Below are 18,653 nucleotides of genomic sequence, written 5' to 3'. Positions count from 1 at the left end.
GTCTCAAATGTTAAGCCACCCTTGCATTCCCAGGATAAATCCATTTGGTCTTGATGAACAGCCCGGAATTATTTATCAAATAATTCATCCTGAATTTGGTTTGAAGTATTTTGAGAAATTTTTTCATCTATACTCTTGAGGGATGTTAATTTGTAATTTTCTTGAGACATCTGTCAAGTTTTACTATCAGTAGAAGTATAGTGGTTAAGAGGATGAACTCTGGAGTCTGAATGACTGGGTTTGAATCCAAGTTGTACAACTTATTAGATGTATAAAATTCTCCCTCCTACAGTTTGGATGTTTGTCCTCAAAAACCTTGTGTTGAAATCTGATCCCCAGTGTTGGAGGTAGGGCCTAATAGGAGGTGTTTGGGTCATGGAGGTAGACTGCTCATGGATAGATTAATGCCCTCTCTGGAGGGCAGGTGTTCCTGAGAGAGCTGGTTGTTAAAAAGGGCCTGGCATCTCCCTCCCACCCCTTTGCCTCCTCTCTAGCCATGTGATCTCTACACAGCCAGCTCCCCTTCACCTTCTGCCCTGAGTGGAAACAGCTTGAGGCCTCTACCAATAGCTGAGCAAATGTTGCCATCATGCTTCTTGTACAGCCTGCAGAGAACTGAGAGCCAAATAAACCTATTTTCTTCGTAAATTGCCCAGCCTCAGTATTCCCTTATTGCAACACAAAATGTATTAAGACATTCTGGGCCTTTTTCTCATTTTTAAAAATTGTGAATACTAGTACCTATCTGATAAGGTTATTGTGAGGATTATATGAATAACATAATGTGCTTATGAGAGTGCCCAGCATATAGTACTATGTAAGTGTTATTATTGCATTATTATATCTGTTGTAGTTTGTTCTTTTCTAAAATCATCTATGGGAATTTGGACATGTAAGTGGTGCTAAATATTTAAGGATTATGTAATATGTTAAATATGTGAGTTATGTGAACCTTAGTCAAAGAACAAGAAAAAGTGATTGTCGTCAACTTTATATGAAATTACTGAAGTTGTGCATTAAATCCTCCCTCTTGCCCTGAGCTATGTGAGCCAATACATTCCCCTTTTTAAATAAGCCACTGCACAAAAGGATATCTCTTACTGGCAATTCCTGTTTGATTCAAATTTACACATGCAAACCTATGTCAGAAAGTTGGCCGGGCACAGTGGCTCACACCTGTAATTAATCCCAGCACTCTGGGAGGCCAAGATGGGTAGGTCACTTAAGGCCAGAAGCTGAAGACCAGCCTGCTCAATATGGCAAAACCCTGTCTCTACTAAAAACAAACAAACAAAGAAAGAAACAAAAACAGCCGAATGTGGTGGTACACACCTGTAATCCCAGCTACTTGGGAGACTGAGGCACGAGAATCCCTTGAACCCGGAAGGTGGAGGTTGCAGTGAGCCAAGGTGGTGCCACTGCACTGCAGCCTGGGCAACAGGATGAGACTCTGTCTCAAAAAAAAAAGAAAAAAGAAAAAGAAAGCCCTTTAACTTTTCACATAGGGTTAGAAAAATCACATTATCCTCCCTTTTGATCCATTTCCCCTTCCTCTTCTCACTACTTACTAGGGGGCTGCCTGTGTCAAAGCTCCCCTCCCTACTGTACTTCCAGGAACACCATCTGATTATTTGGGTAATGGTGGAACCCCTGAGCTACTGTAAGCTCTTTGCAACAGCATCACATTTGTACTCAAGACATGTGCTAAAGGTTCTCAAAACCTATATCAAATAAAGTCAAAACACGTTGTTTCTCTCATTCAAATTCCTTCACTATCTGGCCCTCATCTAATTTGACATTTATCCCTTATTACTCCAAATATGGTACCTTTCCTCTTGCCAGAATAATCTCCTCACTCTCTTCTATAAACGGTATTATCATGTATGACTTTCTGCCTCTGCTTATTCTGTGTTTTTTTTGTTTCAAGGTCCCTCCTCTCTGTTCCATTCCTGCTAAAAGCCCCTATCTTTCAGAATCCTGCTCAAGTCCCATTTTCTCCTGGTAACCTCCTCTGCTTATGTTCACCTTCCTGGGAATTCCCATAGTTCATACTATCTGGGTCACTTTTTTGGCACTGACATTCTGAACTGTCGTGTATTATACTAAACTCTAAAATATGTGCTAGGTTTGTCTCTTAAATAAAACCATAAAGGGCCAGGTGCAGTGGTTCACACCTGTAATCCCAGCACTTTGGGAGGCTGAGGTGGGCAAATCACTTGAGGTCAGGAGTTTGAGACCAGCCTGGCCAACATGGCAAAACCCCGTCTCTACTAAAAATACAAAAATTAGCTGGGCATGGTGGTGCACGCCTGTAATACTAGCTACTTGGGAGGCTGAGGCTGAGGCTACACGGGAGGTGGAGGTTGCAGTGAGCCAAGATGGTGCCACTGCACTCCAGCCTGGGCAACACAGCGAGACTCTGTCTCAAAAACAAAAACAAAAGCCCATAAAGTTCTGGAGAACAGGGATACAGGAATTGTGACTTACCCTTATTTTCATATACCCCTCATACACCACTCAGTTCCTGACATGCCACTAGGCACATGGAGGCTCTCATCAAATACTTGTTAAATCATCAATAAATGAATGATTGAGTGCATTAGTGAATGAATGAATGAACAAGGGTACACATAAATAAATGAACAAATGAATGAATGCATTTACCCCAAATTCCTACCACATGGAGGTTTGTCACAGACAAAACCCAGAGAGTCAAAGCCAACAGGAGGCTTGTAGTTCAGAGACTATGACAGGGCTAGAGGGTGGAGCTGGCAACCTAGAGAGTTTGAGTCCACCTGCCCTCTGTGTTTTAAGAGAGTGCATTCTTGCACCCTGCCTATGTATACAGGGCTCACTGTCTTTCCTGATGCCAGTCATAAATAGCTACACATTGAATTATTTCTGCATTAGTGTCTGTTTATACTCCTAAGTCCTTTCTGAAGCTAAGGGTTTCTGCCCGTGAGACCCCCATGGAGCCCTCACACAGCTCTTTGGAGTCATTGAACTATACGTTCATAAACAGTTCTTCCAATGAAGGAAGGAAAATTAAGAGATTCTTCCTCTCAGATGGAATGAACTGATAAAATTACTACATTACCATTATCTCTTGCAAGTCTTCCCTATGGTCTAATAATTTCCATTCAGACTTTGTAAGCACAAGCCAGAAGTGTGTGGTCCATTTTCTCTTTAATAAGAAATGCCAGCACACGTCTGTGGACTCGCAGAATGCACTCATATCTCACACAGGAGCAACGCCAGGACATTCTAAATGAGCTCCATGGTGTGTAATCATGGGGCCAAGAAATGAAAGTATAAAACATTATGTGATCTGATCGACACAAACGAAAGAAATGGGAACTTGGCTGGTCCTAGCAAAGCCCCAGATAACCTGAGAGAATAATCAAATTAATTTTGAACTACATGGCTTTCATGAATTCTACATGGAATACAGAGTTTGGAAATAACGTAAGCTACATCAGCTCCTGGAAGAATGGAGGAAACTTTTATTTATTTAATACACTCAATTTCCAGATTTCTGAGTCAAACATGAACAAATATACACACTCAGAAGGGAAAGCTTCACCACTGGATGTTATGGGATTGGAGTGGAGTGGGGAATATGGTAGACCAGGGCAGATGGAAGTTTAATGAAGAAAGAAATGAGTGGTGACAAAAATCAAAGAACTCCTCTCACTTATCCAAAGGAACAGAATGCCAGGGGCTGGGAAACTTCAGTGTGCCTACCATTCCCATGGCCTCCCTTGTGAGGAGTTTGTTACCAGCAGGTGTAACATATAAGTGTATCATTTAAAACCAGTACACTGGCCACAGCTAAGTTGACCAAGAATGGGAGGTTAACCCAATCACAACTATCTACACATGACTAGGTGACCTTGTCTAAGATCTCTGCCTAGAGGCAAACTCTGTGCTGGCGGGGATTGACTGACCAATCAGATTTTTTCTCTTGGGTAATGTGATTTGGGGATAGAGTCTCTGGGTCCATAAGAGCAGGTTCTTTGGAAGAAGAAAGCAAGAAGTTGACGCACCTCATAGTAGCACAGTAGAAAAGTGAGGCATAGAAAGATGCCAGCTCTTGAAGAAACAATAAGGTGTCCCATTCTCTAGAGTTGTTTCTTAAAAGACATTTTAGCCTCGGTGGGGCAGGGCTGTTTAAGGCATCCTAAATGAGTGTCCTTCTTTTCCATCTGAAGTACCAACAAACATGCTACATAACTGTTCCCCATCTAGGGTCTTTGAGACGGATAGAGGCTATTCAAGCATCTATGAGCTTGACAGAAAGAAAGTCTTTAATGGTCCTTCTGACATTTTCTTGTTTTTATTTTAGCCTCAGATTTAAAAAAAAATGAGCTGAAATTCTTCATCCTCACCTCTTTGTCTGTATTGAAATGCAATACATATTATATAATATTCAGGGTAGACCTCTACCATCAAAATTAAATTAATGGTGGGCAAAATGAGAGATTTGAGAAAGGAGAATGTGTGTCTTTAGAATTCCATATGGTAGCCTAGAGAGAAGAGGGAAGCATTCTAAAGTAGGTTAGCACATCCAATTACCTAGCAAAGTTAAGAGGGAGTTTTCTATAAACAATTCCCCTGAAAAACTAGGATTAGAAATGCTTAAAGCTTGCTTGCTCAAAAATGATAACGATCCAATATTTGTGATTCCAAAGTTCTAAGTATTGAAAGCTCAGATTGAGGCATGCTGGTTTTAATGATCCATATTTTATCCTAGACTTGGGTCATGAATTACTCACAATTTCTCTTCGTAGAGCACACTTATACTCTTCATGGATCAAGAGCTTCATTAGACTATTTTCTTACTATAAAAACTAGCACAGTTTCACCAGATAGCAGGGCAGTGTGTTGATCCTGCATGGAATCTGAGCTGTAATCTCATCTGACATGTGTTAAGGCATTTCCATCCATGTTTAGGAGGTGCTTCTATAGCTGAATATGTACATGGAATCTAGAAGCTTCGAATCACATTTAATGTGAAGTTCACACTCTCTTTGTTATAAGGTCCACAGAGTAGCCACAGCTTTAGATAGAAGGATGAGCCACATGCTAACATATTAGAACAGGTACCAGCAGAGGTTACCAAGGCAATATTAGGAAAAAATATGTAATTCCATGTGGCAATCTAGAGAGAAAAAGGAAACATTCTAAAGTAGATTAGCACATCCAATTAGTAAAGGAGGTGAAATTTGTCTCTTTCTCACATATGGTGTTCCCTCATTCAACAAACATGTGGTTGAGTACCATCTCTGTGCCTGGCACTCTGAGATACAGGGTCACCAAGATGAATAGGAGCAGCACTTGCTCAAAGGTGTGCACAGTCTAGTGACTATCAAGGGTAGACTGCACAACAGTATCTGGACGGGTCCTTCACCAAGTCAGGAAAATTAAGTAATGTACAAGGTATCTGGCTCATGCTAGATGTGGGGTTTCCCCCCTAGTTTTATTGAGGTATAATTGACAAATAAAACTTGTATATATTTAAGGTGTACAATGTGATGATCAGATATATGTATACCTCGTCAAGTGATTACCACCATCAAGCTAATTAACACTTTCATTGTCTCACAAGTAACCTTTCTTGTGTGTGGTGAAAACAAAACATGGCTTTTTTAAATGACAAGAATATATTGCATTTTAGAAAATGTAAAATTTTTTAAAGTTAGGGAAAAGGAAAGAGAAGACTTCACAGTTTAGGATCTGGCAAAAACAAGGTGAGAGCAAAATGCATAAAGACATATTAATCTTCCAAATTCCTTAACATCCCACTTTGCCCTAGACAATTCCAGTTTCAGCTATTATACCAAGGTAATTATTAATTAATCAATAATTATTAATTTTTAGAGACAGGGTCTCATTCTGTCGCCCAGGCTAGAATACAGTGGCATGACCATAGCGCACCATAACCTCATAACGTGGGCTCAAGCCATCCTCCCACCTCAGCCTCCCCGGTAGCTAGGAAGGACAACAAGCATATGTCACCACATCTGGCTAAGTATTTTTATTTTTTTTATATTTTAGAGATGCAGTCTTGCTATGGTGCCCAGGCTGGAGTGAAATGGTTATTCACAGGCACAATCCCACTACTGATCAGCGCGGGAGTTTTGGCCTGTTCTGTTTCCCAACTGGGCTGCTTCTCCCCTCCTTAGACAACTTGGGAGCCCCCTGCTCCTTGGAGGTCACCATATTGTTGCCGAACTTAGTGTGGATACCCGATCAACAAAGTGCACTATAGCCCAGAACTCCTGGACTCAAGCGATCCTCCCACCTCAGCCTCCCGAGTAGCTGGGACTACAGGCACACACTACCACACCCGGTGAGTTTTTTTGTTTTCTTTTGTTTCTTTCTTGTAGAGACAAGAGTCTTGCTATGTTGCTCAGGCTGGTCTCAAACTTCTGGCCTCAAGCTATCCTATCCTCTCACCTCAGCCTCCCAAGTGCTAGGATTACAGAGGTGAGCCACTGTACTCAGCCGCAATGTAATTACTAACTGCTCTCCTTTCACTCACAAAAACTGTGCCAACTTGACCGTGAATTATATGGTCGCCCAAGTTTGAAGGAATTCTCATGGGCACAACAGAGAAAAAGTTTATGTTTCACACAGGAGCCTAAGCTAGAGGAAGTAGAAAACATCATAGTTGTAGCTCAGCCATTCTCCCTAGAGAACTGCATTTTGTTTGTGTTATTTGCATTTGTTGTGTATCTTTAACATACATGCATGTTGTTAGTCTGCATTACAATTCTCTACAGTGTAGAAGAAAAATTTAATTGGTATTAATACTATATAGTACAATACCCACAAAATACTCACTGATGTATTTAATAATTAGATGATGGGTGTTCTGAATACTTTAATATGATGTGGAAATCCTTGGTGGATTGTTACATAGATGTTTAAGATGTTTGGTGGTGGCTGGGCACGATAGCTCATGCCTGCAATCCCAGCACTTTGGGAGGCTGAGGCGGGCGGATCATTTGAGGTCAGGAGTTAAGACCAGCCTGACAAACATGGTGAAACCCCGTCTCTACTAAAATACAAAAAAATTAGCCAGGCATGGTGGTGAGCACCTGTAATCCCAGCTACTCGGGAGGCTGAGACAGGAGAATCACTTGAACCCAGGAGGCGGAGGCTGCAGTGAGCCAAGATGATGCCACTGCACTCCAGCCTGGGCAACAGAGTGAGACTCCATCAAAAAAAAAAAAAAAAGAAAAAAGAGACGTTTGGTGATAATTGGACCAAATTGATTGCAATTTATTTTTGAATAAGCCCATTTCAATAATGCTCTATCTGGCACATTTTCAGGAATAAATTAAATTGATAATGGGGATATTACCTCATTGGGTTGTGAAGATGAACTAGAACAAGCATGTATAAAGCATGTGGCCCACAGTGGATGCCCTCCCCTGAAGCAGAAGTGAAAACATTGGTGTGTAGAGAGTAGGAATTTCAGCCCCCAAGCCCAGTGTGCAAGAACGATTACTTCCTTTATGGGTCCTATGGGCTAAAATTAAGGTGTCAGTAGAGCTGGTTCCTTCTGGAAGCTCTAGAGGAGAATGCGTTTAACTTGCTTTTCCCACCCTCTAGAGGCCACCTGCACTCCTTGGCTGGAACCCCTCAAGCCAGCAGGGCAGCATCATCACGACTCCTTCACTGATTCTGCTCTCCAGCCTCCCTCCTATAAGGGGCGTTGGAATCACATCAGGTCCATCTGGGTATTCCAGGATACTTCCCCACCTCAAGATCTTTCACGTAATCACATCTGTAAAGTCTCTTTTTGCCACATAAGGTAACACAGTTCTGAGAATTAGAACGTGAACGTTTTGGGGGGACCATTTGTCCTTGCACCTCCCACACACCCGTTTACTCCCTGGGGCCTCACTGCATCCAGGATCTACTGGAAAGCATGGTGAAGGCCCCTTTTGGACCTCCACTTCTGTCTGCATTCACACCCATGTACCTCCTTAATTCTACCCCACCGTGACCCAGGAAAATCTTTTTCACGTTTAGAGGAAAGCTCCTCCCTCTCCCAAACATTCTGTTCAAACCCAGAATCTATTGTGTCCCTAAAGATATAGGCATTTAGAGCACAAAACAAGTAACTTACCATCTGCTTTTGCTTTTTGGCCAGTTTGCTGTCTTCTCCTGAGATTATGGATGACTGCCAACTATCTGATTGAAAGGAAGGAGGCAAAGAGGGGAAATATGGGAAGAGAAAAGTCTGTAAATTACCATCTCAAAGTATTGTCCAGTCACATTTGCAAAAGAACATCCAACCTTCTGAGGGCCAAACATAAAGGATGTCAGGGAGGGTCCCAGAGGAAATCTCTTCCTTCCTCTGGTGTCTTCTCATCCTTATTTCCACTGTAGCCACCCCCTCACTTGGCTCTGGGAGCATCCTGCCTCCCCACTACCAAATATTGCCCAGAACCCTTTTCTGTATTCTCCCTAGCATACCTGAGACAGACTGGTGTTTTCACAAAGAGCAGTACTCAGTGCCAAGACAGACAAAAAGGAAATTGTTACTCAAAATACAAACACCATAAAAATTATTAAGACTTCCTTAGAGAATTGTCTGGCCCAAGATCATACTCTCTGGCCAAGGAGGCTGTTCCAGCTAGTAGTGTGTCTGGCTTTCTCCCTTACTCTCACTCCCACTGACACCTGCATCTTACCTTTTACTCCAAAGCAGGTGCCACGTTATTCTCTGACACAGGGCAGCACATCAGTCAACTACTCTTCCTCCTGGCCCAAGTTAAATAGCGCCCACATTCTCACACCTGCCATTGTCCCTGCCGTTCAGCCTGGCTTGTCATCTGAGCGACTTCCCCAGCCTAAGGACAGCACCACCATGATGGACAAATGGATAATCTCACCCTTTGCATCTTAGGTTATCCATTCCGCCCATGGAACTCACCTCCTGTGGTAATTTCTATATCTACTCATAGATAAAGATAACTCCACACCACACCACACACGCGCGCGTGCGCGCGCGCGCGCGCACACACACACACACACACACACAGAGCTCTACAATATCAAAGAATCTCAAGAATGTGATAACTACATTTTTCTTGCATAACTATACAGTTATGGAGCAAGAAGGTAAATTTTCCAAAGGCACACTGTGGAATTTTAGGAGGAGAAAATATAATTTCTTTAAAAAAAAAAAAAAAAGAAATACAGCAACCCAATAAAAAATGAGCAAAGGGCTTAAATAGACATTTTCCCTAAAGAAGATACACACATGGCCAACAAGCACATGAGAAGATAATCAACATTAGTCAACAGGGAAATGCAAATCAAAACTACAATGCAATGAGATAGAACTTCACAAGCACTAGGATGGCTATAATTTTTTAAACACACAAAATGCAAAGTAACAAGTTGGTGAGCCTTAGAGAAATTGGAACCCTCATCCATTTCTGGTGGGAATGTAAAATGGTGTAGCTACTATGGAATATAGGCTGGTGGTCCCTCAAAAAGTTAAAGATAGAATTACCAAATGACTCAGAAACTCTACCCCAGGACTCTACCCAGAAGAACAAAAAACAGGCACTCAAATACTTGTATATAGCAGCACTGTTGACAATAACCAAAAACTAGAAACAATCCAGATGTTCATCACTGGACAAAGAAAGTGTGATATGTACACATGTATAAAATAGAATATTACTCACTCATAAAAAGAAATGAAGTACTGATACATGCTACCGTGTAGATGAGCCTTGAAAACCTTCTGCTAAGTAAAGGAATCCGGATGCAAAAGGTCACATATTATATAATTCCATTTTTATGAAATATCCAGAAAAGGCAAAACCATAGAAACAGAAAGCAGATTTGTGATTACCAGGGGCCAGAGAAAGGGGATGGGGAGATGACTATTTAATGGGTATGGAGTTTTCTTTAGGGATGATGAAAATGTTTTGGAGCTAGATAGAGGTCATGAATGCACAATATTGTGAATATACTAAATGTCACTGGATTGTACATTTTACAATGGTTAATTTTATGTTATGTGAATTTCATCTCAGTCTTTTTTAAAAAGGGGAAAATTACAGAACTAGGAGTAAGAGGACCAGACATTGAGTCCTGACTTTAGTGCTTATTAGCCACTTCACTATAGGCAAGCAATTTAAATTCCAAGTCTCAATTTCCTCATCGCAAAGCAAGACTAATAATATTTGTACCACTTGCTTCATATGATTATTGTAGGAAAAAGATGAGATATTGTTTGGTATAATTATGTCATGTAAAAGTGATATAAAATGCTAGATATTATCATTATTGAGCTAATAGTCATTAAAATGTATACTCAGTAAGAAAACTGAAAGCTCCCTTTCATACTTTTACAAAATCCAAGTTGTGATAAGTGTACTCACAACTGCCTATTTTGTTCATTTTCTCTTGAGACATGATCTCACTCTGTCACCCAGGCTGGAGTGCAGTAGCCCAATCATGGCTTACTGCAGCCTCGAACTCCTGAGCTCAAGCGATCTTCCTGCCTCAGCCTCCCAAGTAGGTGGGACTACAGATGTGCACCACCACACCTGGCTAGTTTTATATATATTTGTAGAAACAGGGTCTTGCTATGTTGCCCAGGCTGGTTTTGAACTTCCAAACTCAAGCAATCCTCCTGCCTCAGACTCCCAAAGTGCTGGGATCACAGGCGTGAGCCACAACACCCAGCCACAACTTTCTATTTTTAATTTATATATTGTAATCAAAGGATTGCAATAGATCACTTTTATTCAGACAAGAAGGCAGCATTTAAAAAATTTCATCTATAATGTCAAGTCTCACTGTAGAAGTGATCTTAGGCAAGGAAGATTAAAACATACATCATAAATTCTTTACATATGAGTGACAGAAATGTGAGTCATTTTCTATGCCCAACAGGCACAAGTGACACATGAGTATTTGTGGTGTATAAGTTCTCCTTGAAGCAGGTGATATGGTTTGGCTGTGTCCCCACCCAAATCTCATCCTGAATTTAACTCCCACAATTCCCATGTATTCTGGGAGGGACCCAGTGGGAGGTGATTGAATTATGGGGGTGGGTCTTTCTCATGCTGTTCTTGTGATGGTGAGTGGGTCTCGTGAGATCTGATGGTTTTAAAAAGAGGAGTTCCTCTGCACAAGCTCTCTTTGCCTGCTGCCATCCATGGAAGATTTGACTTGCTCCTTCTTGCCTTCCACCATGATTGTGAGGCCTCCCCAGCCATGTGAAACTGTACGTCCCATAAACCTCTTTCTTTTGTAAATTGCCCAGTCTCAGGTATGTCTTTATCAGTAGTGTGAAAATGGACTAATACAGCAGGTTTTCACAATATTTTCAACAAAGTAATGATAAAAATACAGGGGGATATTAAAACATCTTTAGTTTAAGAAAACATAAATAGGACTTACTCCATGGTTGCAATGGCTTAATGTTTAGTTAGGAAATACTAACAAAAGATCAAGTTTCTCTTTCTCTCTTTGTTTCTTGAATAACATAAGCAGTCTCAAAGAAATTTGGTTATAAAGAAGTAAAGTCTGATGAAATAATTACAGTTTTATAGCATATTTATGAGACTGGTAAGTAGTTACTCTTCTCTGACTTTATATCTCTATACTATCTCTCCAAAGTATGCTAGCTGATAATTTCTTGAAATACTTTTTAGGGTAAAATACAAGAGAGTTGAGGGTTTTATAGGATTTTACAAGTAGTCTAGACTATTCAAATATAAATCCATTTTTCTTGATAATGTCATAGTCATTTCATGCCACTGTAACATTCTTGCCATCTAATAACCAAAGCCTTACTGCACCTGGCAAATTTTTTTTTTTTGGTAACAATTATTCATTTTGTACTATTTGGTAATTAGCAATAAAATTCTTGAACACAGACTAAATATATGCAGTTGTCATGAGTTTCAGGCAAAATTATAATAGTTCAGTCCATTCAGAATATGTAATGTTATTGTTATGATACTGGTTCTGTTTTATTACTAAACACACTACAATTGTCCAGTAGCAAACACGTCAGTCCCCAAAATTCTGTAAATCCATCACGATTCTGGAGTTGGAAGCCAGGGTCAAAACAGGTGGTTGGAAATAACCAAGGAGGGTGAGGGTTGAATTATCTGTTGGGCACAATGTTCACTATTTGGGTAATGGGCACCCCAGAAGCCCAATCACCACCAGTATGTAACACATCCATGTAACAAACATGCACATGTACCCCTGAATCTAAAATAAAATAAAAAATTTAAAAACGGACTTCTTGGAATCCTAAGTAACCAAGGACACCTCATGAACTCCACATCTGGGTTTTTATATACCAAGTTACATATATAAATAGTTCATTTTCCTATTTTTAATTAATCTAAGATGTGTATGCACCAAGAAAGACTGCTTGCAAGCATGGGATATGTTAATACATTTCCCAAAATAACTTAACATTTTAGTTAATATTATTGTAAGTAAATATAATAATTCTATTAGTCTTTTTGGACTATTAAAAATAGTTTTCAGCCCTTTATTACTATGTCCAAGGAATTATATGCATCAGTAACTTGGGTAGTAAACAGAAAAGATCTAACATTATTGAGTACTTATGATATGCTAGATTCTGTCCTAGACACTATGTATATGGTTCTGGCACATATATAAATATAAAAATCTTATTTAATTATCACCAAAATCTTGTGAAGAAGGTGTTATTATCACCTCCTTTTTAGAGATGAAGATACTAAGGCTCACAGAGTTTAAGTAAATTGTCTGAGGTCCCATTGCTAATTGGTCAAATTGTGGCTCAAACCCAGTGCCCTTTGAATTTAAGGACAAGGCTTAAACACCAAAATTAATGACTTAACTAAGGAACCTAGCATCCCAACATCAAGCAAGTCTCCTGGATGTTGAGAATAGAAAACCAGAACCAAGCCTGGATTGCAGGGTGGATGAATGCTCCTCTAACAAGTATTTTCTAAGCAACCGCTATTGGCCTTGCCTTACGGAGTGTGAATGAGACAGACTTGTCCCGTGCCTTCACAGAGCTTAGACTCTAACAGTTTGGTTAAGACACTGAACCAGTGATCAAGTGGCTCTAAAGACCTATAGAAGTGGTGGTGAGAACATGCCACGGGAGAAGAAACTTCTGGCTCTCAACTAGATTTTCAAGATTATGGGGAGGAAGGTGAAAATAAATCCTGTAACAGTGGCAAACAATACATTTAACAAGACGCCTTTGAGTCAACAAGCATGACAGGGCACCAACAAAGTGCAAGGTACCAAGCTGAGCCCTGCTCTTCATAAGATATTCCAATATTTCATGCATCTCCTATTTCATATATACAGGCGTCTCCTAGGGAAAGTTGTATTTTCGCTGAAAGATCACACGTTTTGTTAAAGATTTCATTGGTTATCCCAAAAGTAGCATGGCGATAAGAGTGTCTTCCATGTGGTGAGCCTGGCTGGACTTGAGGACACAAGGGTGGGGTGCTCCAGACCAGATTACATGCAGGCACTAACCACAGAATTGGAGCATTCAGGTCGTGTCTCCCTCCAATGCATCTAACTGTGGAAACTCAATCAGGTCCAGAAATGAATCAATTTCCTTTGCCTGTGTCCTTAAATTTGATGAATAGAGCCTTTGCTTAGAGCTACTGAAGCTGCTATTCATCTCAGTTAGCTGCTAAATAAAACGTTGTTCTTGGATGTAATTCTGGCGAATATGACTTTGGAGATTTTTCATGTAACTGTGTAAGTCCAAGTTATTCCCCAAGTGATCCTACATTCGAGCTATTTTTGTTCCACGTGCTCCATATTTTTTTCCATGTTAGAGACTAGGAATCTAGAAGACCAGGTTTTCTTGTTGGATGGTGAGGAAGATAAATCTGAGTACATGTGCAAATTTTTGTGAAATAAACAGCTAAAGTTATCCTCATTGAAAATTACCTTTCTAGTCAGTGCAATTTGATAATCTGGAAATAGTTTTGGACTTTTAGACACATAAATTTAAAGTAATGAAAGACAAAGTTTGAAAAAATAAATAAGCCTGTGTCTGATCAGAGAATCAATGATTTTTAACTTGAAATAATTGAACTTTCTTCATACAACAGTCCAGAACCCTGTTATCCTCTATGGTTAAGGGTTTGCCCAGGGTCATGTAACTAGTTACTGGTAGAATATAACTGGACCATGAGTCCTTTTTTCCCCTTTCTTTACATCTTTAAATAAAATTTTGTTTTCAATCTAAGTGAGGCACATTCATAGTTTAGAAAGTAAAATAGTAACAGCTACAAGGCTTCTCACAAAAACACCAATCCCTGACTCACCTTTCACTACACTCCTGGTCTCTGTCTTCAGCGAGTAACACTTTTGAGGTATTGTTTGTAGCATTTACACATGTTAATTTTTCTAAGTCATATGTTGTTATCCATAACCTTCATTATAAAAAAATTTTTAACTTATATATATACATAGACAACCATATACACCCATGCATTTGGTATATCCTTTAAAAGTAAGCTGCAAACATCATACTTCACTCCTAAACACTATATAGTAATACTAAATATAAAATTGTGCTGTCTTTGTGTCCTCTGTTTTAGACAATATCACTTGACTTTCTATTATGGGAGTTGAGGATTTCATTTTCTTTTTCTTTTTGAGACAGTTTTGCTCTGTCGCCCAGGCTGGAGTGCAGTGGCATGATCTCAGCTCACTGCAACCTCCACCTCCTGGGTTCAAGAGATTCTCCTGCTTCAACCTCTCTAGTAGCTGAGATTACAGGTGTGTGCCACCACGCCTGGCTAATTTTTTATTTTAGTAGAGACAGCTTAGAGACATAAGCTTCACCATGTTGGCCAGGCTGGTCTCAAACTCCTGACCTCAGGTGATCCGCCGGCCTCAGCCTCCCAAAGTGCTGGAATTACAGACGTAAGCCACAGTGCCTGGCCTGAGGATTTCATTTTCTTCCACCACCATCCATCTGCTTCACCTCCTTCATCCTCCCAGTATATAGTACAATTTTAGATTAAATATATTCAACATCGTACACCCTTTGTTTTTCCTGAAGTTAATAATTGCCTTGATTTTTCATTTGCTTACTTTCTTTGCTAGTTTCTTCTCAATTGTTCTTATATCTTCCAAAAACCTTTTAAAACATTTCACTCACAGACCCATCTCATCCAGCTAATCTATCAGATATATTTCTATATGTATAGATATACATAATTGTTTTAAAAAGATGCCCTTCTAGAGGACTCCACTCTCCTATCCTTCCGTCTAAGCTTATTACTACCAGGCTTACTGGCAGCTGCCATCTTGAGACCTCCTTTGGCTGTCATCCCTGAACTGCCTTTGCCCATCTCTGGGTTTAGATTCTCTGTCTCGTGGGTCTCACATCTTCTTCTTGCTTGGTGCACTCTCTTGTGTTGGTGGGACACAGCCTCTAACAGCATTATGAGGTGGAAAGGGCAGCAGAATAGCACTAGTCTATCTCTTGAGTCACACTGCTCCAGTCAGGACTGGTTTCCCTCCTCTCCTGCTGTGTAACTACCCTGACATCCTGTTCCCAATTATCCCAAGGATTCCTGTTACCATACTCCCATGTTCAAGCTTCCTGGTACCATATACTGTGTCTTAGTCTTTCTTGGTTTATTTACTCCCTTGCTTTGGCAAGGTACAGCCTCCAGAAGCTTCCTAAGAAAAGGTGCAGGGGAGGTAATAGTTTTTAGAGCTTTCAAGTCTGAAAAATGCCTCTTTTTTTCTATGCTAGATAAATATCATGACTGGTAATGAATTGTAGGCTGGGAATAATTCCTTCAGAATTTGCAGTCATTCCACTACTGTCTCTTAGCTTCTAGTGATGCAGTTGAGGAGTCTGAAACCATTCTGACCCTTGATCCTTTGTATGTGACCTGTTTTGTTTATCCTTTTTTGTAACTTACAGAATCTTCTTATTTCAAAATTTTAAATTGATATGTTTTGGTGTGGGTCACTTTAATTCATGATGCTTGACACCTCATGGGCCAATTAAGTCATGTTCTTCACGTCTGGGATTTTTTTTTAAAAGTACTTTCTTAGACTTTCTTCCACTCCTTTTTCTATGTTCACTTTGTGAAAAAGAAAAAAGAAAGAAAAACTGCTATTATTGGAACTTCTGTACTAGTTATACAATTTTATTATCTTTTATCTTGTAGTTTCCATTTGCCTTTTTTCTCTATTTTCTGAAAGATTTATTCAACTTTTTCAGTTATTTTACATTCCAGCCACAACATTTTTGCTATTATACTTTCAATTTCTAAAAATTAATTTTTGTTCTTTGAAAGTTAGGTTTTTGTTTTGTTTTTTGGTTAAAAACACTTGTTACCTAAAAGTAGTATCTTCTCTTAACATTCTGTACATATTAATGACCTTTTTGGGGTTTTGTTTCATTTAGTTTTCTTCTTTCTGCGTTGCTTCTGATTTCTCCAAATTGCTTTTCTTTCTGTAGGTTCCTTTTCACCTCTATCTTCTGGGTTAGTGACACCCCTACACGCCTGGCAATCTTTGGCTGTCTACTTATGTTTAATATGGGGAACTGGAAACCTGATTGGAAGTTTTGAGACGTTTGCTTTGAGTTTATCCATGACGAACTTAATTGAAGAATTATCTGGCTGGGTTATTTTGGGACAACTTTTGGCATCAGTCAGTATCTTTAGGTCTTTTTTCTAGGGTTGGTCAATTTCCAGCTAGGATACTTTTCTCTCTTCCTCCATAGAAGGAAAAAAATAACTTTCTGTATTCTGAGAGTCAAGTGGGAGAAAAAAGAGAAAGGATTCAGCATCTAGTGCACAAACATTTGCCTAACTTCCTTGTTTTAATATGGTAGCCCCCAAAAGCCCTGCCTGGCATTTCCCAGTCCAGATACAATCAGTTCACCCTCTGCAGGAAATAAAGCTCCTAGGCTGAAGGACCAGTTCCCAGGGTGGAGTGGGCAGCCAGCAGAAGGGCCTGCTCACTCCCTCAACAGCTGTCATTTGAGCCTCCGTGTTTTGCTCTTCACCACCCAACTTCTTCCTTCTGGTCCAGCCCTCCTCCTCCTCAAACCAAGCCTTTGTGCTCAAACCAAATGGTGCTGCCACTGCTCAAGGCTTTTGAGGACTGTGCTTCAAAATCAGGTTGGTTCTCAGCTTTTTCCACCACAGGCTTAGATTTTGGTTTCTTGCATTTGCCTCCTGTCCGTCTGCTTTCTAATTTACAAAATGTTGTTCTTATCTCTTGTTTTGTCCACTCTGCCCTGATGAGTTTACCTTTCACTTTAAATCTCTTTGCTATAGTTTTTCTAGGGTTTCAGGAGGGAGCAAAATTAGACAAATGGGTTCAACATGCCATGTTATCTAAGAAGCTCTATTGTGTTTTTTCTACTCTATTATAGATATTTGTGCTAATTATATGAAGCATATAACTCAAGAATATGTAATAAAGATAATTATGGTACTTTCACAAATAACCACCTTAATCAGCTAAAGTGGTTTTATGTCAGATAAAAACCACAAAGTAATGACCAGAGGTTATGAATTTTAAAAGGAAAAAAGGGTTGAAAAACAGGGGAGGAAAGAAAAAGAATTTTAATTTGTGGATGATGTAAGTTCCAACAATTTTGTAGAATAAAAATGATTATCTAATACAAGAGCAGTCTTAAGAAGCTTATTATTGATTCATGTTATGGACAAAGAGGAAAAAGAGGAAACTCCAGGAAATAAAATGCTCCAAGTTTGGGAATTCTGCCTTTAGGGATATGCAGCTAATAACAGTCATGACATGAAGAGACCCTTCTCCAATGGTGAACTGCCTGGACTTGTGCCATGGTGGATGCCATGGGGATTGAGCTGGGGCTCAATGGATCACTGAAATCAACAAGCTGTGTTTCTTTTTATTTCAATAGCTTTTGTGGTACAAGTGGATTTTGTTACATGAATTATATAGCGGTGAATTCTGAGATTTTAGTGCACCTGTCACCCGATTAGTGTACATTGTACCTAATGTGCAGTTTTTGTATCCCTATCTCCCATCCCACCCTCCCTCTTCTGAGTCTTTAAAGTCCATTATATCACTCTGTATGCATTTGCATGCTCATAGCTTAGCTCTCACTTATAATTGAGAGCATATGGTTTTTGCTTTTCCACTCCTGTGTTACTTCACTTAGACTAATGGCCTCCAGCTCCATCCAAGTTGCTGCAAAATACATTATTTTGTTCCTTTTAATGGCTGAGTAGTATTCCATGGTGCATATATACCACATTTTCGTAATCCACTCATTTGTTGATGGGCACTTAGGTTGGTTTCACATCTTTACAATTGTGAATTGTGCTGCTATAAACATATGTGTGCAAGTGTCTTTCTCATATAATGACATATTTCCCTTTGATAGAGACCCAGCCATGGGAATCCTGGATTGAATGGTAGATCTACTTTTCACTCTTTAAGGAATCTCCATACTGTTTTCCATAGAGGTTGCACTAATTTACATTCCCACTAGCAGTGTAAAGTGTTCCCCTTTCCCCACATCCACACCAACATCTATTGTTTTCTGACTTTTTAATAATAGTCAATTCTTTTTTTGTTTTTTTGTTTGTTTTTTTTTGGTTTTT

At 39.7% G+C, this 18,653-nt stretch overlaps 1 pseudogene; it reads right to left on the bottom strand.

The window, feature by feature from the left end:
* Positions 6,056–6,353, bottom strand: RN7SL711P (RNA, 7SL, cytoplasmic 711, pseudogene; annotated as a pseudogene).

Source organism: Homo sapiens, chromosome 5, assembly GCF_000001405.40.
Source record: "Homo sapiens chromosome 5, GRCh38.p14 Primary Assembly".
Lineage (NCBI taxonomy): Eukaryota > Metazoa > Chordata > Mammalia > Primates > Hominidae > Homo > Homo sapiens.
This window is presented reverse-complemented; position numbering and strand designations above follow the sequence as displayed.